This window comes from Homo sapiens, chromosome 3, assembly GCF_000001405.40.
Source record: "Homo sapiens chromosome 3, GRCh38.p14 Primary Assembly".
Classification (NCBI taxonomy): Eukaryota; Metazoa; Chordata; class Mammalia; order Primates; family Hominidae; genus Homo; species Homo sapiens.
The window spans coordinates 182,293,129-182,316,698 of NC_000003.12; the positions used below are offsets into that span (position 1 = coordinate 182,293,129).

General features: G+C 39.6%; 1 annotated feature.

Annotated features, from left to right (window-relative positions):
* Positions 22,481-22,981: an enhancer, noted in NCBI's record as "H3K4me1 hESC enhancer chr3:182033397-182033897 (GRCh37/hg19 assembly coordinates)". NCBI's record gives its function as "activates a minimal SCP1, AML or CMV promoter by ChIP-STARR-seq in primed H9 embryonic stem cells {active_cell/tissue: H9 hESC(primed)}" and the evidence as "EXISTENCE:reporter gene assay evidence [ECO:0000049][PMID:30033119]".

Below are 23,570 nucleotides of genomic sequence, written 5' to 3' on the forward strand. Positions count from 1 at the left end.
GACCAAAATTTTTGCCAGCTTGGCATCAGAAAGTGTACTTTGATTGCATGTCTAAACTAGGGGTGTGATTGCTTTCTTTCAATGAAACCAAGATAAAATGTTGTCAACTAGTAGCATCCCACTACAAAGCTTCTGAAAGTAGCCCCTGAATTTTCTTGCAGCAAATTCTAGGATTGTTCTTGGGTAAAGGCCAACCTATCACCCGGTAAGTTGAGAAAACTACTTATGTCTGGCAGCTTATTCGAGGTAGGTAGATGTGTAAAGATGCCCAGGACATTTGCTGTCTGATCTGTGAGGAGCATCCCTATAGTTAGCTCCTCCAGAGGTATCTTTTTGCAAAAGAGATTACAGAAGAGGCCAGGCTAAGCTGGACGCTAAAAGAAAGCAGAGATTAAAAATTCATGCAGAGGACCAAAAAGATAAACCTGACAGCTGACTCCAAGAAACAAAAGTACACAGGAGAAAAAAAAAATCCTAGCAGAATTTATAAGGAAATAATACAGTCTGGGAACATAGTTTAAGCATATCTTTATATGCATATCTTTACACAAACTTTATAGGCAATGGCAGAGGTTTCTTTAACTGTGCCTTAAATTTCACCCTCTTCACTTTTATAATTTTATAGCATTTAGGGTGTCACTTATGATATACTTGATCACTCAGACAGCCCAGAACTTGAGATCCACAGCAAATGGCACAGATATATTGATCCAACAGCCTTTGTAAAAAAACAAACAAACAAAAACACCAAAAAACCAACCAAACAAAATTGTTATGTCATGTTTGGTATCTATTTGGCAATTGCCTCTTTACCCATTTCCAAGTAAAGTGTTTCATGGTATTTTTAATTAATTCTATACTAATTTTTGTAAACTTGACTTTTCCATCATTTTTATCAGTTATGTATTGTTATAGCCTAAGCATTTCCTCCCAAAGACAAGAAAGTGAAGTGAGACCTGAACTAGCGTTTCCCAAAGAGAATTCACAGGCCCATCTCATTTATTTATTGATTCAACAAACATTTTATTGGGCATGTATTATGTGCCTGACAGTGTGCTAGGCACTGAAGATACAGAGATGTTTAATATCCAGCCCTTGCCCACAAGGATCTCGCTTTCTATTTTAATAGACAAGTAAGGATAATAGCAATAGCTTATAGATATTAATAATGCTTGACACAGCTCAGGGCATGCAGACAGTGTCCAGGAACAACACATTGTGAATGTGTGGTCAGTTAGAAGAGGATTTTGCAGAACTAGCAAATCATATGAATTCTGATGAAGGCATGATTAGCCTTCAATGTTAGGAATCTTCATCCTGGAGTGGTTATGCAGCTGACTAGGACAGCTCATAAGACAAGCATGAAACAAGGAATTTCCTGCATCAATCCTCTTAAACCAGATCCCACACAACAGCTAAAAGGGATGTCTAGATACTACCCAGAACTCATCTTGGTCTCCATAGACCCTTCTCGCTTAAGTCCCACCTTGTTCATAGTGTGTCCGGGGAAAGAATAACCAAGCTCCTGTATGCAGCATACAGAACTGAGCTCTTTCTTGTTTTACGCTTCTATGTTGAGGTAAGAGGAACAGATCATCTTACTTCTGGCTTCTTCCAGGAGCATTCAACCCAAGTGACCAGCCACATGGGTTGCTGGATGAAGTTCCTGAAGTTTCAGGGTGGGATAGTAGTCGAGGAGTGGCAGCAAATGGCTTCAGACTTTTCCCTGGCAGGCAGTAACTGGAGATGGAGGTAGCAGCAGGGAAAGGAACGGGACAAGCCAGGCCTAGGAAGTGTCAGGGAGGGTGTGTGGGCCACCCAGAAAGCAAAAAAGGCACACCCATTCCAGCACACCAATGGCCTCTAATTGGACAATTTCAATTTTGGCAGAGGCCTTTGTCTCAATAGCTTCTTCTATTAGAGGCTTCAACATTAGCTCTTAAAATAATGGATGACCTCACCAGCAGAAGAAATCCCATTAAAATCAGAGGAGCTTGAATTTAGATGCAAAAGTTTACCCAATACCATCAACGTTAGTTTGGGGCCAGATTATCAAAAGGAAAAATTTTTGGCAGGAACAAGTGAGTGGGTTAATAAACAGAATATCTCAGTACTCAGAAATCCTGCTAGTAGGGCAGGGGGCAAACCTAAGGAAAGAAGAGTTTCACTGGTGAGTTGCAAAGAGAGAACTTGAGCTGGGCAGAATGTTCACCTGTGTATCTCCAGTGCCTAAACAGTGCCTGAAGTGAACAGACTCAGCAAACTTGTGTTCAACTCCTATTTCCATCTCTTACTAGCTGTGTGACTTTCAAAAAATTGTTTGTCCTTTCAAGGCCTCAGTTTCCATATCTGCAATATGAGAAAAGGAAGAAAATATATGTCTCCGAGGGTTGTGAGAATTAACTGAGATAATCTATGTCAAGTGTGAGAACAGTACTTGATATTATGTAAGTGTGATATAAGTGTTCAGAAAATAAGTGAATAATGTCACCAAACCTCAGAACATACCTGTGATATCAATGCTGTTACCTCCAACTAATAGATGAGTAAACTGAAAGTGAAAAGTTCTAGATAAGTTACCTGTATTAGTTCATTTTCACCCTGCTGATAAAGACATACACAAGTCTAGGCAATTTACAAAAGCAAGAGGCCTAATGGACTTACAGTTCCACAGGGCTGGGAGGCGTCACATTCATGGCGGAAGGCAAGGACCAAGTCACATCTTATGTGGAGGGAGACAGGCAAAACGAGAGAAAGAGAGATCAGATCTCGTAAACCATCAGATGTCATGAGACTTACTCACTATCGCGAGAATAGCATGGGAAAGACTTGCAGGCGTGATTCAATTACCTCCCACCGTGTCCCTCCCACAACACGTGGGAATTCAAGATGAAATTTGGATGGGGACACAGCCAAACCATATCCTTACCCAAGGTCACAGAGCGTAGGATGGCGAGTCAGGATTTGCACCCACATCTAAATGCTTGTGTAGTCTCTGTTCTTTCCCATTGATTCTATGCTCTACTCACTCGTGTTTTTAAGTTGGTCTTTTTGCTTTGTTTATATGTAAGTGTGTTTGTATTTATGTATAGTCTTATTTCCCAGAAATGCTGTTTTAGTCCACAATTATAAGAATCTATAATGCTGGGAAACATTTCTAATTTCTTTCTGTGAACATGCCCGGAGCATCTCAGTAGCAGTGCCTGGGAGCACTCACTTCACTCAAAAGAATTGCGATAACTTGCACCAGTCACCAATTATCAGGGACCCAAAAGGCTGGCTTTCAAGGAACCAGTTATAAATAATGATAACTTTATTTACTCTATGATCTAGGCAATGCACACAGACCATGGAATGTGCAGGCAGGAAAGGATGGTAAGACATGTTTCCGGCTTGGCCAATTTTTACTTCTTTCTGTAAGGTTGGACTAATTCCAAAAGGCTCCCACCTTCTGTGAGGAGAACTAAAGGACCAGAGAGAATACATTCATCAAAACCTACTCGAAACAAAGGGCTGCCTCTGCTCTGAGTCCCTTAAGCTTCTCAGAGGAAAGGTATCATTACAGGTGAAACATACAGTTGGTACTAAGCCTTTGGCCTAGCACAATCACTGTAAGCAGGCTCATCACTTTCCTATTCCACTGGCCTTTGCTGTCTTCTTGGAAATAATTGTTTCATCACATGCCTCGGACAATTTCAGCTTGCCTGTAAACTCTCTTAGGCAACAGTATCTTGTTTTATTTTTAACTGAATCTCAGTTTTGTCGAAAGTACATGAAATTTGTATCTGGGAAGATGTTTGGGGCTGCAAAACTAAAAATAGCCTAAGCAAAAAGGAAAATGTATTATTTTGTGTAATGAAAACACTGGAGCCTGGGAAGTCTTAGGTCAGTGAATTCAGCGATTCAATAGCACCATCGTAGATCGAGGTGCATTTCATCTTTTCTCTCTGTTAATATCAGTAGATCAGTTATATCCCTCTTGATTGCAGGTGACAACAGTATCCAAAGGCCAAACCGCATCTCTCTTCTTTGGATCCATTTTTAAGAACAAGAAGAATCTTCCCAGAAACCCCCAGAGCAGACTGTCCCTCAAGTTTCATTAGACAGGTTTGGGTCATTGCCCACCAATCTCTGGCCAGAGGTCAGTAGACTACTCAAGATCCACTTCCTGGGGCTGCAAAGAAGCCCAGGCTTCACTAAAACACAAAGCTGCCCAATAACTTTATTCTGTGAACAAAGAAGACTGGCAATGGGCGCCTTCGGTAGGAAACGACAATGTCTACCCTGATATATGAAGTCATACGGATCTGGGTTTGAATCCAGGCTCAACATTTATAAACTTAGACAATTTCACCTCTTGAAACTTTAGTGCACTCACATGTAAAATAGTACACTCACATCTACCATAAGGGTGGTTGGTGAGGATTAAACAAGGCAATATTTGTTAAAAGTACAGCACAGAGCTTGGCACATAATTGTTACTTAATGCCTATTGGTTTCTCCTCTTTCCTTTTTGCCTCCCTTTTGGAAAGCTTTCAGCATACATGTTTCCATTAGAAACAGAGGACTTTCTCTTTTTCTATTCATGTTTGTGTAGTCTATTACTCATTCTCCTGCCTTTTCTTGTGATTTCTGATCTTACAACACTATTAGTAGTGCTTTTTAAAATGTGATTATTTCTTGTTATTAATACTACTATTGGAGTAATTGATAAATGTGTAACATAAAATGATACTTGCCCAAAGTTCACATCTGGCGTTGTTTTTGACCCTGATAATGTGGTCAATTGGGGATGCTCCAGTTAAAGGTAATGAACTGATTTATTTCATTGTAATTTGTTATGTTTCATAAGTGAAAGCCCTCCCTGCACTTTGTCCAGTGAGTATACCCACACATTAATCTTGATCAATTGCCAGCAAGCATTTAATGAGTGCCTTTGTTGGTATGGTTTAGGATGTTCCTTTGCTCTATCTACCACTTGTGGAGAAACTTAAGAAAGGAAAATTCATATATGTTGTTATTAAATAAGCTCTCTGCCACCCTAAGAAAGAAACAAGTATTTTGTTTGCGTAGCAGAACACAAAAAGGGCTAATGAGGATACGTTGGTTCAGATTATTATTAAATGACACATCTATTTTTAAAAATTGAAGATTATCTTTAACATGTATGAGTTGTAACTGCTCCTAAGTAAATTCTAGAGAAAATATTTATTCTGCATTACAGCAGAAATGATGGTCTCTTTTTAATTTTACTTAGTGTTTCTAAAGATTTTTAAAAATATATATCCATAGAGAAAATGCATCCATTGTTCACCAGTCAATCTTTTTTTTTTTTTTTTTTTTTTTTTTGAGACGGAGTTTCGCTCTTGTCTCCCAGGCTGGAGTGCAATGGCACAATCTCAGCTCACTGCAACCTCCGCCTCCCGGGTTCAAGCAATTCTCCTGCCTCAGCCTCCCCAGTAGCTGGGATTACAGGCATGCACCACCACGTCCAGCTAATTTTGTATTTTTGTCCAGCTAATAGTAGAGACGGAGTTTCTCCATGTTGGTCAGGCTGGTCTCGAACTCCTGACCTCAGGTGATCAGCCCGCCTCGGCCTCCCAAAGTGCTGGGATTACAGGCGTGAGCCACCACGCCCAGCTACCAGTCAATCTTTTGTTAAGCACCTGGCAACCCTATATTAGGTGAAGTAAAGGATGCAAAAGTCAAGGAAGATCTGGTCCTGGCAGTCCAGTGAAAGAGAGAAGACACATCCAATCAGCTCGTACAATGCAGGACAGTCATGTGGAGCAGGAGAACAACTGGAATGGCTTCTAGCATTGTCACAACTAGCTGGTGGCCCTGGGCAAACTTCCTAAATTCCATGGGCCTCATTTGCAACATGAGTGATTTGAACTACAGAATGTCTAACAGTGGTCAAATTCTAAAATTTTAGCATTCTCAAGTGTTTCAAAAATCACTAACATCTGGAGTAGTCAGCAAAGATTGGCAGGATGAGCTAGACTTGAGGTGGGCTTTGAAAAACAGAAGGAGGGAATGTGTTAAGAAAATTTGAGACAAGGAAAGAAGAACACAGAGCTGCAGGAATTAAAAGTAACAAGTAATGACTGCGTCAGGAGTGTCACACCTGCCAATGTGAGAAAATGTGTTGGGCAATTACTTTAGGAAATCCAGTTAGACAATGAGCATGGAGCAAAATAGGAGGCTCATAAAATCTAGGCTGAATGTATTAGCCTTGATGGTGTTCATATATAGGTGGTTTCTACCTTTTTTCTCCTCTTATTAAATCCATTTTATCTTCCTCCAGTCTTTCTCTTCCACTTCTTTTTCTTTCTTATCCTTTTTTTCTTCTCCATATTCTCTTTCTTCTCATTAGTATTGTAGTAGTGTTTATAATTTACAAGCGCTGTTACTTACATGATATTTTTAAATCAAAAATTAATGCATGCCATTCACAGACTTCTCAGAATTCAGACTCTGGAGCTGGAAAATCTGGGTTTGAGTTCCTGGTTATACCACTTACCAGCTGTATGAGCTTTGACAAGTTTCCTAAGTGGCTATGGTTCAATATCCTCCAACAGATGAAGATAATGATACCCACTTTCTAAATCTTGTAAGAATTAAATGGCCATCCAAAACACTTGGGACAGTGCAGGGTAAATGATAGGTCCTATGTACGTTTCCTATTATTTGGAAAATACCTATAGGGTCATTTTCTGTCCTGTCTGTATGGGTCACAATATGCATGTTTTTCTAGGTTTTTGTGTCCAACATCCACAGTATGTGAACTACTGACAACTTTCACATAAGAGAGTTGGAGCTCCATCTGAGTGAATTATTTAAATGTGCTAACTAAAATTTCAAGAGCATTTAAAAACCTTCTGAGCAAGGCCATGTCCTGAAGTTGCAGCCATTTTAATTAGTTTCACCTTCTCTGCCCCATGATCCAGAAATCTCTAATTGTACCGTTGCAGCCTCCTGCTCCCTGTCACAGATCTGACTTTACCTGCTACTATTTAAATTTTATGAATCATGCTCCCTCTGTGTGAACTCCTGAAACCTCTGAAACTAAATGAATAATTATCGAGATGAAATTGTTAACCGTTTATAAAAGATGTTGTAAAAAGACTTGTTTTCTCTATGAACCATTTTTTTTTTTCTGGTTGTCTCCAATTTGCGGCCATTAGCATGAAGAAAAATGTCAGCTATTCCTCCAATGAAGAGAGAAGGAGATTCTTAGAATCAAGAAGCTTGACATTCCATAAGCAAATACTCCCTGTTTCAAAAAAGGCAGTAGGAGTGTGCCATGGCAACCTCTTCCAGGGAATAACTTTAAGGTTGGCCTAGTGCTCTCCTTCATATATCGACTTCAGTGGGAGCACCTGGCATGAATGTCAGTGAGAAGACAGCTAGGGCAGGGAGTCCCCCAATAACACAGTGCGGCCATTTCTCAATGGAAAAGCATGATCTTGTAATGAGCTGTTTCTTTGAATACTGTTTTGTTTTTAAAGATTGTACGTTTGCATTTATGCCTTTGTTTTGGAAATACCTCAAGTAGAAGTGTCAAAATGGAAAGAACTCCTAGTTTCCTTTGCCTCATCAAAAATCAAATAGACCTAGGAATTCACCTGACGTCTTAGTCCCTCTGAATTTCAGATTTGTTTTCAGATGTGACATGTTATTGGAAACATCTGAAATGAGAGCTCCTTCATCATTCTCAAATTTGGTGATTTGAAAATCTCATTTTCAAGTGCGTTTTTCTTATTTCCCCATGTTGCATGCTTGGTAACTCTTCCATTTGTCTATTTTTGGCAGAATGGTACAGGATCTATTTGCCAGAACAATTTTTTTGAAGACCCAGGCTCTCATCATTTCAAGACAAGGGGTCCCTGGATCAAAATAGAACCAAAAGTTTCATTTGGCATCAATCAACCTTATCAGCAGAGTCCAGGGATTATCAGCAGAGACCGGGGCTTTTATCAAGACACAGAGCACAAGTAAATCCTATAATCTAAATTTGCAACATTTATGACCTGGAAAGCAGCCCCAGGTAGGCAAAAACAACTGACCTTTTTCTACTCCTCCAAAACACCTGCTTGGTACTGCCTCGTCTCCCACAACACTTCTCGACAGTGGTGATCTTGAAATGTTTATGCTTAAGTCGTGTCTTCCAAATTAGCCTCTAAGTTACTTTAGGGCAAGAGCCATGTCTTCGTGTGTCCTGCCCAGTGTTAGGACTGGATCCTCAGGAAATACCTATTGAATAAACTTAGATCTTTTCACATCCTTTCAATTCTGTCAACCCACATAAGGCTGGCTAACAGCAAAGCTGTGGGGGAACTTAGCCTACATTCTTCAATCCAGAATCCCTGAACACAGCTAGCATGGTTCAAGATTAATAAGTACACTGGACAGTTCTTTGGAGCCCCGTGATATTATTGGAATGCTTTTACTTTGAGATCTTGACCTCCTAATGTTAACAGAGCTTAGGTGGTAACCTAAAATCACTGGAAAGATATCACTCTGGAAAAATGAGTAAATGACAACAAATCAACCTTGCAACATCTCTGGATAATTGCTATCTACTCTGTCTAATTATTCCTACAAAAGGTAACTTGTCTTTCTTACATTTCTGAAATGTGGCCTGAGGTACCTCAGGTAGTAGTTACCCACTGGCTGGTCAACTGTGCAGATATGGAAAACATATTTGGCTATATTTCAGTGAGGCAATAAAAGACACTACTTAATTTCAAACTTTTTATTAATTATGTCTTATCAGTCCCTTTCTCCAGAAGATACCGATATGATTCTTCAGTTCAGTTCAGACATCCTAACTTTCCATTTTACATTAAATGGGACATTTTAATATATAAGCTTTTGGAAATAATTAGAATTCACATGTAGATTTTTTTGTAATCAGAATTTTTAAAATTACAGTATATAATTACAATGTACTATAAGAAATTGTCAAGTGGATAACCTTGTTGCACTGAAATGTTTTTGCTGTAAACAAGTCTCTCCTTTAGTGGAATATTTGTCAGTGCATGTATTCAAAGAAGCGCTCTCAAGGCATGTGCTCAGAAGTTAGGAAATAATTATATTTCCAAACATAATCTTTTCTAATCATCCCATTTTGTTTTGTTTAAAAATAACCTGTGGGTTTCTAAGACAGGCACAATTATCTTTCATCTCAGCTCCAAGATACCATCCTTCCAGAAAATGATTTGGGGTGGGGGGAAACAAACTCAGAGGTCACTTTTCTTTTTCTTTCCTTGAAAATCCTCACTCTAATTGCAAATAAATATACTAGCAAGGAACTGCCTAAGTTTAGCTGCTAGGTTTTTAAAGCAAGATAAGTGGGAAAGCACTGAATTTGTAGTAATATTTAACAACTCATCCACGCAGTATTAATACATAGTGATTTTCAGCGGTACATAGACAAGGCTAATTTCAATTCAACAAACTTTTATTGAGCGCCTAAAATACGCCGAGGACTCTGCTAAGTGTTGGGGGCACCAGGGTGAAGATGATAAAGTTCTCGACTTACAAAGCTTAGTTTCTGGAGAAGACAAACAGTAAATAAGCACTTTTAATAAGTTACGCTCAAATTGGCATGAGAACATGGAAGAGGTGGGGTGGTGAATTCTTAGTGGAGGCTTCTGCCATGCACAATGCCTGGGCTGACCTGTGAAGAAGTGTTTTAGTGGGTGGGAAAGGTGATAGAGGCAAAGTGAACAACACAGTCAGTCTGGTGGTTTAGGGAAACAGCCTAGTGTTTTGGCAATGAAATCTCTTGAGTTCGGGTAAGGTAGGGAAAAAGGCCAGCACATGTCTGGCCCCTGTCAGGTGCCACAGAAAAGTAGGAATTTTTCTTGTTCCAAATAAGATCTAGTCCCTGGCCATGCCCTGGTCTTCCAGGAAGATACAATCCATAGGGCCAATCCCAAACTACACCATCGAATGTTCCTTGAGAGCACCTTTGTACTGATTCCTGTAGCACTCAGAATGCCTCATATAAAAATCCCCAGACTGTGCTGGAAACTGTGGGCCTTTCTTGCCACCATCCTCTTTATTAAGGAAAGATTATCAAATGATTACCTGCCACATTTCAGTTACTACAGAGACAAATGATAAACGATCAGACCCTGGCCTTAAGGAATCTACAATCAAGCATTTATCCTTGGTCCCATCTCCTCAGGACTCAGGGCACTCCAAGGTGGCAAGTAGCCAGGAAGGCAAACAAAGCCACACTGTGTTGAGAGAAGACTATCTGCTTAGCCCTCCTTCCCTTTCCAAGTAATATGTGTATATGTATATAAAGAGAGTGTGTGTATGTGTGTATGTCAGTGGCCTTCCTGAAGACACTGCCTTTGTCTTCAGTCTAATCAAATGAAATACAACTTTCAAATTATTCATAAATGTTTTCATATTAGCTTCTTTAGGAAGCTTTATGAACTTTCAGAGCGTTTTAATACTTAAAATTTTTTTAACGTTGGTTCCTTTTACGATAAGATATGGAAGACAGATGTAAAAAATATATAAGCTTTTCAAAAATGAATAATGTTTTTCTATAGGCATTTTATATTAGCTGGAAGGGGAGAATGGCATGGGCATGAGACGGTGGGGGATATATTTGGTTCATAAACATTGGCATAACTAATAAACAATTATGGAGTGTCTTCTAGGTGCAGGGTGCTGGGGCTACAAAGGATTTCGGTGAGTGGTACCTGCCTTCATGAGCCTGGCCATCACCCTGGGGAGATAGACAAGCATCAGGGCAGGAGCATGGGAGACTAGGTGGAGAAGCAAAAGCACAGAGCCAGGGGTGATGTACGAAGGCTTAGATGACAAGAGGTTTTTGCATCTAGAACACTGAGCAGCAATAGCAGGCATGAGAGACATAGGGAGATTAATAAGATACTATGTCCCTGAGAATGAGCCCTATCTGCCCTTTTGGCTACAGTGGGAAACCCTAGACCTTTGAGAAACCATTATGGCTTGTTAGGCTTCAGGATGGAGAAATTCTGCCTGCTCTGGCAAGAGAGGCTCCTGGCTTGCACTCCTAGTGGGCAGCTCCTGAAGGAGAGGCTGTGGCCTGGAGCAAGGGTGGCGAGGTTGGCTGTTAAAGCTTCCAATATTTAAAGTCTGGTCTCTGGGCCTTGATGACCTCTCAGGACTCAACTCAGATTTTGTAAATCATGGTAGCCGATGTTAGGGTGACCATATAATTTATTGTCTAAACTAGGAAACTTCTGAAAGAGAAAGAGGGCATCATTAATAACTGGGCACAAACAACAGATTTAAATGAGGACTCTCCTGGCTTGAGATGTAGAGCCTCCCTAGCTGTTAACCATCAACACCTCCTAATGCATGGCCATGCATGGTGCCTGCTGGTGTTTTTTAGCCTAGTTCCATCACACACACCTTAATAATTAGAAGAAACAGAGGAATTTAAGGCAATGATCAGTTAATCCTGAGAGAGGGAAGCCAAGTTTCACAACTAGAGAGAGCCCAGAGTGTTACTAATAAAATAATCCAAAATATTATAAAATCATTAACCATACTTAAGTAAATAAATTCCAGCTGTAATTCATCCCAGAGCACAACACACAGAACTGCCCATATAAGAAGCAGTTCAACAATGAGAACACATGGACACAGGGAAGGGAACATCACACACTGGGGCGTGTCAGTGGGTGGGGGTCCAGGGGAGGGAGAGCATTAAGGCAAATACCTAATGCATGTGGACCTTAAAACCTAGATGACGGGTTGATGGGTGCAGCAAACCACTATGGCACATGTATACTTACGTAACAAACCTGCACATTCTGCACATGTATCCCAGAACTTAAAGTAAAATAAAAGAAGAAGAAAAAGCCGTTCAACTGCAAGTCACACTTGCATGGGGTGTGCTCTCTGGATGTTAGCTTGGGGCTCCTACAGGATACCTGCTCTGTTTTCTTTGTTCTCTGGGTTTCTTCTGCAGGTCTTTCCTGGATGCCCCAGTTTATTTATCCAGAAGATAACTGCCTATATCTTTTTGGGGGTCCCCAATGTATAATTCACATTAGCTTATGAATCAAGTGAGATAATCCCAAACACATTCTTCAAAGGCAGTAAAAATCTTTCTAGCCATTTATTTTAATCTGATGTGAAAATCAATGAACAGATTGGAATTTAATATGCTTTATAAATTATTGGGAAGTGGAAAAAAAAGACTCCTTTCTTGAGGTCACTGATTTGTGAAGACAGTGTTTGCTTTGGGGACAGAGTTTACGTATTAAAAAATTTAAACCTTACAATCATAGGGGTCCTTTTGTTTGAAAGATGACCTAGTGTAATAGAAAAACGTAGATTTTGAAGCCTGACAGATTTAAGTTTAACCTAACTATGTGACCTTGAGAATATTTCTAAACTTCTCTGAGCTTCTGTTTCCTCATTTATAAGCAGGCATAGTAATCCTCACCTTTCAGAGTTGTACAATTCCGAGATGATGTGCACAAAGAGTTGAGCATATTATAACCACTCAATATGTCATAGCTGTTTTATTATCAAGGTGACCAAAAACATTCTGGAAGAAGAGGGGTGATATTCTTTACCTATGTATTTTATAAACACTCCCAAAAAGGTTCTTAGAGAAAAATATGACTTGAGAGCATAAGATTTAAATTTATGACGTTACTTCAATTGCGAAAGTTTGTTCAGATGGCCTAATCAGGGGATTAATGAACCATCTTGACTGTGATGTGGATTACCATGACCTTCCTCTTGTTTTGGAGTTGGACACGTGGTGCTACCCAACTAAACGAAAATAAGGAATATTTTTAAACGCACTGTGCCATGTCACTTCCTGCATGGTGGAACCCATTCACAGACAAGACAGATACAATGAGGACTGTTAGGAAAATAGAGGAATGAAAGGCACATATTGTTCCCCTGAGTCTATGGCAGCCACTGAATAATGGCGTTTTCTTATGGGTAAGAACAGGTTTGCTTTCAGAGCAGTTCTCTGTATTTTCCTTGGATCCAGGACTTGTCAGCAAGGACACAGAAAAACCCAAGGATAAGTCTCAATCAGCAATAACTCAACACTCATAGGAAGGATGGTTTTCAAAGACAATTAGGAAGCTGTTTGTAATTTGAGCTTCTAAAACCACTTAGGGAAGTTCACCAAGTTTGAGAAAAACATGAGTATCTCCCTTTGTGACCAGGTTGCATAATACTATGGAAGGCCCCACCAGGGGAGTGCCCCATTTGTGTTACCCTATCTTTGCTCCTTACGTTTAGGATTCAGCGTGGTTTCAGTCAAAAGGACCCTAGAGAAGGTTTGTAGTTTATGGCATTAGTACTCACAAAGGAGGTGTTTACACATGTAAAATGATTTCAGAACAACCCTCTAATCTTCCACAAAACTCTCCCCTGAGAGTTTAGTCCCTTCCAACTCTGAAGAGGGTCAAAGCCTTTCACTTGATGAGTAATAAAGTTTATTGTCACACATCCTGACTTACTACAATTTAAATTATATCAAATTTTATATGCATATTACAAGTCAACATAGGCTTTTCATCAGCAGCATTTTTGCTTCATAACAACCTTAGAAAGAGATAGGTGGGTAGAAAAATATTGTTATTATTATTGTATCAAATTAGTATTTTAAATTATTTAGATTAGCTTTTTTGACAGGGGAGTAGGGAATTGGTGATGGAACTGGAGTTGGAGGGCACATACAGAAAAGAATCAAAGTTACACAGAAATACATCCTTCCATCCTCCAACTCAGCAACTATGCTTCTGGGAAGGTACCCTTCATGAGTAGTTACCCAGATGGATAAGGATATGCATACGGTGATACCCACTACTGCAGTGTTTGAGATAACAAAAAGCTAGAAACAAAAGGAATAGTATGGAGTAGTTAAAAAGAATAAGGAACTGTGAACTGTAGGCTACTATGTAAAAATGTCAGTAATAAATTGTATATCAGCATGTATAACATGACCTCATTTGTGATTATAAAAATGAGGAGCTAGCTAGATAAATAGATATTTACATATACTTACAGAATTTTCAGAAAAATTCTCTATAGTTACTCAGGCCTAGAAGTTTGGAACCAGAGTGGAAAGATGGAGTTATACTTTTCATCACGGACATACGGATAAGTATTTCTGAAATTTTTACAAATGGCAAAAATTTTGTTTTTTAAAAAATTTAAAAGAGGCTAACTTTTAAGTGTGTATGAAGATTTACATGGAAGGAAAAAGAAGAAGGAAAAATAGTCATGAAGCTTACTATATGCCTGACACCCAACTCTGCATCTGACATCTCATCTAAACTTTATGACAACTCCATAAGGTAAGACTTACCTTTGTCTGTGAATGAAAGTGAAAATCCCAAGAAGCTGATTCATTACCCTCACAAGCAACATGGATGGCTTCAACCCAATTTACTGAGACCCCAAAGTCCCCATGTATGCATTTCCATAGGCCACACGAATATAATTGTGTCTAAAGGTCATGAGAATAACACTGGGCAAAAGCAAAAATATTCTAACTTCTGAATTAGAACCCGAAGCATAAAACTTGTTCCACAGGGTCAGCCCTGTGACTGTGTAAGGTGATCACTAATGGTAGCAACTAATAGCTACAGGATGGGACACTTGTCCTCATTAATAGCTTTGCAAATATGCTCATAGAGTTGTTGCACCAAAAATAAATTAGAAGCAAATCAGAATGGAGCCAATTCAAAGAACAAAGTGGGGGAGAAAGATTAAACAGGCGACAATGACCACTAGCTTTGCCATGTTTCAAAAATCTGTTGTTCCACAGGATTCTGAAATGAAAGCAAATTTTTTTTCTTTCAAAGCAAAATGGTAAAATGGAAAACTAATTTAATGTTGCCTTTGCATTATCTTCAAAATAAAATAAAAGTTAACTGTTTATAGAAATGTTTTGCCTTTCCAAGGTTAAGAAATAATGGAATAAGATCCTATGAAATTATTCATTTCTCTGTGATTTTTTCTCTTTGTTCTTCTACAGTTTAGAAAGATTACTGACTTGTAAGTGACTCTTCATGCTAACATGCACAATATTTATACATCTCTAAGTAATACCCACTTGCCCAGTGGCATTCCACACAGAAAAAATAGAATTTTATGTATCATTAAGCAGTTTCCAAGGTGTCAGCAATTTCATGCAAAGCATCAGTGTAATGACTAGTAGTTCTACTTGCTAAATAGCAGAGTGTTTGGAAATTTTTAAACTGCTGCACTGGATACACCTGGACTCCCTGAATAAGCTAAAGTCTCCCTCCTCATCCATGTGAGTTCAGCAAATATAAGCATCCCCCTACCAGTGATTTCTCTCTAGGAAGGAGGGTCCGGAAAACTGAGTGTAGATTAGAGGCTCTAGCTGCCCTAGTGGCTGCCAGCAGTGACTCAGGGGCCAGAGTTAGCTGTAGCCAGACTCACTACAAAATGAAAATGTGGGATCTCTTGCATAAAAAGCAAGAAAAAAAGTGTGCCATTTAAGGCATTCAAATAAAATTTTATCCTCTTTTCTGTGGTCTCTCAACTTGTCATGGTGTTTTTATTTGCTATTTAATGTCTTTCTAAGTAAAGGATAAAATTAAAAATTTAACTTATTTGCCTGAATTTTACTGTTCATCATGCCAATTTATCAAGGAGCATTTAACTTAAATGTAGTATCACTGAAATTAGACAATTTGTTTTTCATAGTCCATACATGCATATGTATTTTATTCTTGCCAGAATAGTGGAAGCATTGCACAAACTAACTCAGTTGTTTTTAATTTTACTTTTTGACACTTGCACATTCTAGTATTACCCTTATCTTATTGATAAGCAAGTAAGGGCTGAAAGGAAAAGAAACTATGAGTTGCCCTATCTTTCCCTTTTTTTCTGTCATCATTTTCAGCATAAGTGGGTGGCTAATACAGGGAAGTAACACAAGTGAGAAAAGACTTGATGGATTACTTGGTCTTTTGTGGTTCTTAGAATGGCATTGCTTTGCATTAGAAGCAAGTTCTGTACTCACTTTGAGTCTCACTGAACTTCCTCACGTTGCAAGCCCATGAGAATTCCCTGCAACATGTCCAGGAGGGCACCATGACTACTCTATGCAAATGAGGAGGCCAGCAACTGCACACATTGTATTTCCTCTGTTCAAGCCTATGCTGCACTGCCCCCTTGGACTTAATTTACAAAACACGAGTTCAAAGATAAATTATTATGAACTTTAAAACAGTGACAAGAGTGACTCAGGCTCTTCTGAGTGAGAGGCCCTATGACTACACAGGTCATATGTCCATCAACATGCTCTCTTTAATCACCAAAGGCAAGACTGTCCTGCTGGATGGGAGAGCAATGTCCAGGGGTGACAACTCTACAGAGGGAGAAGTAAGATGATTAGAAAAAAAAAAGACTCATTCAGGAAGAACTGGACAATGATACACACAAAAAATATCATTCTAGTTTACTCCCAGCCTGATCAAATTAAGATGGTCAAGTTGGTCAATACTTTGCCAGAGCATTCAAAATGCTTTATAGTCCTTTAAAAATTACAGTTTGTTGTCAATGCAATCTCCAGCCAGTATATATTTAACTATGTCTGTCAAGCACAGGAAAACGTTCAAATGTATTATCATCAGTGACAACAATTCTCATCAATCCTTGGAATGACAGTTACACTGTGCTAAAATGCCAAATATGTATGTGAAACCCTCACCTATTTATAAAGGGTATCTCTTAAGTTCCTAAATATCCCAAACTAGAAAAAACAGAAATGATTTAACATGAATATCCCATGAAATATTTTCTCTGTATAGCTTCACACCATAAGTTTATTGCCTTTTCAATTTTCACTAAAAATCTATTCCTCATTCATTGGGTATTGTTGCACAAATAAAGTTTGTTTTTTTATTTTTACTTTTTAACATTTATTTTAAGTTCAGGGGTACATGTGAAGGTTTGTTATATAGGTAAACTTGTGTCGTGGAGGTTTGTTGTACAGATTATTTCATCACCCAGGTATTAAGCCTAGTACCCATTAGTTATTTTTCCTGATCCTCTCCCTCTTCCCACCCTCTACCCTCAAGTAGGCCCTAAGTGTATGTTGTTCCCCTCTATGTGTCCATGTGTTTTCATCATTTAACTCCCACTTAAAAAAAAAAAAATTCTGGAGTACAGGATGTGCAGGTTTGTTACATAGGTAAATGTGTGCCATGGTGGTTTGCTGCACCTATCGACCCATCACCTAGGTATTAAGCCCAGTATGCATTAGCTGTTTTTCCTAATGCTCTCCCCTCTCTTTGCCCTCCCCCGATAGGTCTTAGTGTGTGTTGTTCCCCTCCCTGTGTCCATGTGTTCTCATTGCTCAGCTCCCACTTATAAGTGAGAACATGCAGCGTTTGGTTTTCTGTTCCTGCATTAGTTTGCTGAGGATAATGGCTTCCAGTTTCATCCATGTCCCTGCAAAGGAAATGATCTTATTCCTTTTTATTGCTGCATAGTATTCCATGGTGTATATGTACCACATTTTCTTTATCGAGTCTATCATTGATGGGCATTTGGGTTGATTCCATGTCTTTGCTATTGTGAATACTGCTGCAATGAACATATGTGTGCATGTATCTTTATAATAGAATGATTTATATTCCTTTGGGCATATGCCCAGTAATGGGATTTGCTGGGTCAAATGGTTCTAAATCTTTGAGAAATTGCCACACTGTCTTCCAGAACAGTTGAACTAAATTACATTCCCACCAACAGTGTGAAAGCGTTCCTATTTCTCTGCAAACTCACCAGCATCTGTTGGTTCTTGACTTTTTAATAATCGCCATTCTGACTGGCGTGAGAGATGATATCTCATAGTGGTTTTGATTTGCATTTCTCTAATACACTGATGTTGAGCTTGTTTTCATATGTCTTTTGGCCACATGTATGTATTTTTTTGAGAAGTGTCTGTTCATGTCCTTTGTCCACTTTTTAATGGGGTTTTTTTCTTGTAACTCTGCTTAAGTTCCTTGTAGATTCTAGATATTAGACCTTTGTCAGATGGATAGATTGCAAAGGTTTTCTCCAATTCTGTAGGTTGTCTGTTCACTCTGGTGATAGTTTCTTTTGCTGTGCAGAAGCTGTTTAGTTTAATTAGATCCCATTTGTCAATTTTTGCTTTTGTTGCAATTGCTCTTGGTGATTTCATCATAAAATCATTGCCCATGCCTATGTCCTGGGTGATATTGCCTAAATTTTCTTCTAGGGTTTTAATAGTTTTGGGTTTTGCATTTAAGTCTTCAATCCATCTTAAGTTAATTTCTGTGTATGTTATAAGGAAGGGGTCCAGTTGCAATTTTCTGCATATGGCTAGCCAGTTCTTCCAGCACCATTTCTTAAATAGGGAATCATTTCCCCATTGCTTGTTTTTGTCAGGTTTGTTGAAGATTAGATGGTTGTAGATGTGCGGTTTTATTTCTGAGTTCTCAATTCTGTTCCATTGGTCTATGAGCCTGTTTTTGTACCAGTACTATGCTGTTTTGGTTACTCTAGCCTTGTAGTATAGTTTGAAGTTGGGTAGCATGATGCTTCCAGCTTTGCTATTTTTGCTTAGGATTGTCCTTGCTATATGCACTCATTTTTGGTTCCATATGAATTTTAAAATAGTTTTTTCTAATTCTGTGAACAATGTCAATGGCAGTTTTATGGGACTACCATTGAATCTATAAGTTGCTTTGGGAATGAATTACTTTTATTGATTTGCATATGTTGAACCAGTCTTGCATCCTGTGGATGAAGCCAACTTGATCATGGTGGATAACCTTTTCGATGTGCTGCTGGATTCCACTTGCCAGTATTTTATTGAGGATTTTTGCATCGATGTTCATCGGGGATATTGGCCTGAAGTTTTCTTTTTTTGTTGTATCTCTGCCAGGTTTTGGTATCAGGATGATGCTGGTCTCATAAAATGAGTTAGGGGGGAGTCCCTCTTTTTCAATTATTTGGAATAGTTTCAGAAGAAACGGTACCAGCCCCTCTTTGTACCTCTGGTAGAATTCAACTGTAAATCCAACAGGTCCTGGGCTTTTTTTGTTGTTGTTTGGTAGGCTACTGATTACTGCCTCAATTTCAGAACTCGTTATTGATCTATTCAGAGATTCACCTTCTTCCTGGTTCAGTCTTGGGAGGGTGTATGTGTTCAGGAATTCATCCAATTCTTCTAGATTTTTCAGTTTATTTATATAGAAGTGTTTATAGTATTCTTTGGTGGTGGTTTATATTTCTGTGGAGTCAGTGATGGTACCCCCCTCATCATTTTTGATTGTGTTTATTTGAGTCTTGTCTCTTTTTTTCTTTATTAGTTTAGCTAGTGGTCTATTTTACTGATTTTTTTTTTTTTTTTTTTTTTTTTTTTTTTTTTTTTCCAAAAAATCAGCTCCTGGATTCATTCATTGATTTTTTTGGAGGGTTTTTTTTATGTCTCTACCTTCTTCATTTCCACTCTGAGCTTCGTTATTTCTTGTCTCCTGCTAGCTCTGGGGTTTGTTTGCTTTTGGTTCTCTAGTTCTTTTAGTTGTGATGTTAGGGTGCTGATTTGAGATCTCTATAGCTTTTCAATATGAGCATTTAGTGCTATAAATTTCCCCTCTTAACACTGCTTTAGCTGCATCCCAGAAATTCTGGTACATTGTCTCTTTGTTCTCATTAGTTTCAAAGAACTTCTTTATTTCTGCCTTAGTTTCATTATTTACCCAGAAGTCACTCAGGAGCAGATTGTTCAATTTCCATGTAGCTGTGTGGTTTTGAGTGGGTTCCTTAATCTTGAGTTCTAATTTGATTGCACTGTGGTCTGAGAGACTGTTATGATTTCAGTTCTTTTGCATTTGCTGAGGAGTGTTTTACTTCCAATTATGTGATCAAATTTTAGAGTAAGTGCCATGTGGCTCTGAGAAAAATATGTGTATTCTGTTGTTTTTGAGTGGAGAGTTCTGTAGATGTCTATCAAGTCCACTTGGTCCAGAGCTGAGTTTGGGTCCTGAATAGCATTGTTAATTTTCTGTCTCAATGATCTGTCTAATACTGATGGTGGGGTATTAAAGTCTGTCATTATTATTTTGTGGGGGTCTAAGTCCCTTTGTAGGTCTTTAAGAACTTTTTTTTATGAATCTGGGTTGTCCTGTATTCAGTGCATATATATTTAGGAGAGTTGGCTCTTCATGTTGAATTGAACCTTTAACCACTATGTAATGCCATTCTTTGTCTTTTTTTTTTTTTTATCTTTGCTGGTTTAATGTCTATTTTGTCAGAAACTAGGATTGCAACCCATGCTTTTTTCTTCTTTCCATTTGATTGGTAAATTTGCCTCCATCACTTTATTTTGAGCCTATGGGTGTCTTTGCACATGAGATGTGTCTCTTCGATATGGCCCACCAGTGGCTCTTGTCGTTTTATCCAGCTTGCCATTCTGTGTCTTAATTGGGGCATGTAGCCCATTTACATTTAAGGTTATTATTCTTATGAGTGAATTTGATCCTGTCATCATAATGCTGGCTGGTTAACTTTGCAGACTTGTTAATGTAGTTTCTTTACAGTGTCATTGATCTGTGTACTTCAGTGTGTTTTTGTAATGGCTGGTAATGGTTTTTCCTTTCCATGTTTAGTGCTTCCTTCAGGAACTCTTGCAAGGTGGCCTGGTCATGACAGAATCCCTCAGCATTTGCTTGTCTGAAAAGGATTTTATTTCTACTTCGTTTATGAAGCTTAGTTTGGCCAGATATGAAATTCTGGGTTGGAAATTCCTTTCTTTAAGAATGTTGAATATTGGCACCCAATTTCTTCTGGCTTGTAGGGCTTCCACTGAGAGGTTCACTGTTAGTCTAATGGGCTTCCCTTTGCAGGTGACATGGCCTTTCTCTCTGGATGCCTTTAACATTTATCCCTTCATTTCAACCTTGGAGAATATGATGAGTATGTGTGTTGCATTGATCTTCTCATGAAGTATCTTATTGGGGTTCTCTGGATTTCCTGAATCTGAATGTTGGCCTGTCTTGCTAGGTTGGGGAAGTTCTCTCGGATGATATCCTGAAGTGTATTTTCTAATTTGGTTCCATTCTCCCCTTCTCTTTCAGGTACTCCAATGAGTCATAGCTTCAGTCTTTTTACATAATCCCATAGTTCTTGGAGGTTTTTGTTCATTCTTTTTCATTCTCTTTTCTCTGATCTTGTCTGCCTGCCTTATTTCAGCAAGATAGTCTTCAAGCTCTGATATTCTTTCTTCTGCTTGGTCAATTCAGCTATTGATATTTGTGTTTGCATCATGAAGTTCTCGGGCTGTGTTTTTCAGCTCCATCAGGTCATTTATCTTTCTCTCTAAACTGGTTATTCTAGTTAACAGCTCCTGTAATCTTTTGTCATGGTTCTTAGCTTCTTTGCATTGGGATAGAACATAATCCTTTAGCTCAGTCAAGTTCATTAGTACCCACTTTCTGAAGCCTACTTCTGTCAGTTCATCCTTCTCAGCTTCAGCCCAGTTCTGTGCTCTTGCTGGGAGATATTGCAATCATTTGTAGGAGCAGAGGCATTCTGGTTTTTGGAATTTTCAGTGTTGTTGCATTGGTTTTTCCTCATCTTCATGGATTTATCTACCTTTGACCTTTGAGGCTGTTGACCTTTGGATGGGGTTTTTGGGTGGTCTTTTTTGTTGATGATGTTGTTGTCGCTTTCTTTTTGTTTGTTTTTCTTCTAACCATCAGGCCTCTCTTTTGCAGGTCTGCTGTAGTTTTCTGGGGTCCACTCCAGACCCTGTTTGCCTGCGTATCATCAGTGGAGGCTGCAGAACAGCAAAGATTGCTGCCTGCTCCTTCCTCTGGAGGCTTCGTCCCAAAGGGGCACCAACCTAATGCCAGTTGGAACTCTCCTATATGAGGTGTCTGATAACCCCTGTTGGGAGGTTTCACCCAGTCAGGAGGCACAGGATCAAGGACCCCCTTAAGGCAGTAGTCTGGCTGCCCCTTAGCAGAGCTGGTGCACTGTGCTTAGGGAATCCCCCTTTTCCAGTCTGCCTGGACTCTTCAGAGCCAGCAGTCAGGAAAGATTAAGTCCACTGAACCTGAGACCACGGCCACCCCCGCCCCCAGGTTCTCTGTCCCAGGGAGATGAGAGTTCTGTCTGTAAACCCCTGGCTGGAGTTGCTGGAATTCCTGCAGGGATGCCCTGCACAGTGAAGAGGGATGGATCCCGGTCCCAACTAGAGAAGCAGTCTGGCCACAATCTGCCACAGCTGCTGTGCTGCACTGTGGAGAATACCACCCAGTCCAAACTGCCCAGCCTCCCTAGCACTGGCAGGGAAAAACCACCGACTAGAGCTGCAGTAATGCTGGTTGCCCCTCCCCTCAGGGACCTGGTCATTTTAGGCAGACTCCACGGTGCTGTGCTGGCCAGCGGGGATTCCAAGCCCGTGAGTCTTAGCTTGCAGGGAACCATGGGAGTGTGACCTACTGAGCAAGGCTGCTTGGCTGCCTGACTTCAGCCCCCTTTCCACAGAAGTAGATGGGTCTCCTGCCTCTCTGGAGTTTCAGGAGCCATCGGATTATGCTCAGTGTCTGCCCAACCTGGATTCGCCTACTGGAGCAGCTGCCACGGGTCTGCCCAGTTTTGTGCTTGGGACCCAAGGCCCTGGTGGTGTAGGCTCACAAAGGAACCCTCTGATCCACAGGTTGCAAAAATTCACGGAAAAAGTGTAGTGCCCCAGGTGGGTAGCATAATCCCTTACTGCCTCCCTTGGCTGGGGGAGGGAGGTCCCTTTACCCCATCCAGCTCTCAGATGAACCATCACCCCACTCTGTTTTTCCTCACTCTCCATGGGTTGCACAAACCACCTAGTCAGTCCCAATGAAAGAATCAGTTGGAAATGCAGAAATCACTCACCTTTTGCATTTCTCTCAATGGGAACTGCAAACGGACACTGTTTCTACTTGGTCATCAGCCCCACTTCTAAGTGAGAGTATATGGTATTTGGTGTTCTGTTTCTGCATGAGTTTGCTAAAGATAATGGCCTCCAGCTCCATCCATGTTCCTGCAACGGGCATGATCTCATTCTTTTTGTGGCTGCATAGTATTCCATGGTGTTTATGTACCACATTTTCTTTATCCAGTCTAGCATTAATGAGCATTTAGGTTGATTTCATGTCTTTGCAATTGTGAATACTGACACAATGAACATATGTGTGCATGTGTCTTTATAACAGAATGATTTTTATTTCATTGGGTATATACTCAGTAATGGGATTGCTGGATCTAATGCTATTTCTGTTTCACATTCTTTGAGGAATCGTGACAAGGTCCTCTACAATAGCTGAATTTATTTACATTCCCTCCAACAGTGTATAAGCATTCCTTTTTGTCTGCAACCTAGCCAGCATCTGTTATTTTTTGACTTCTTAATAATAGCCATTCTGATTGGCATGAGATAATATCTCATTGCAGGTTTGATTTTCATATCTCTAGTGATCAGTGACATTGAGCTTTTTTTCATGTACTTGTTGGCTTCATTTGTGTCTTCTTTT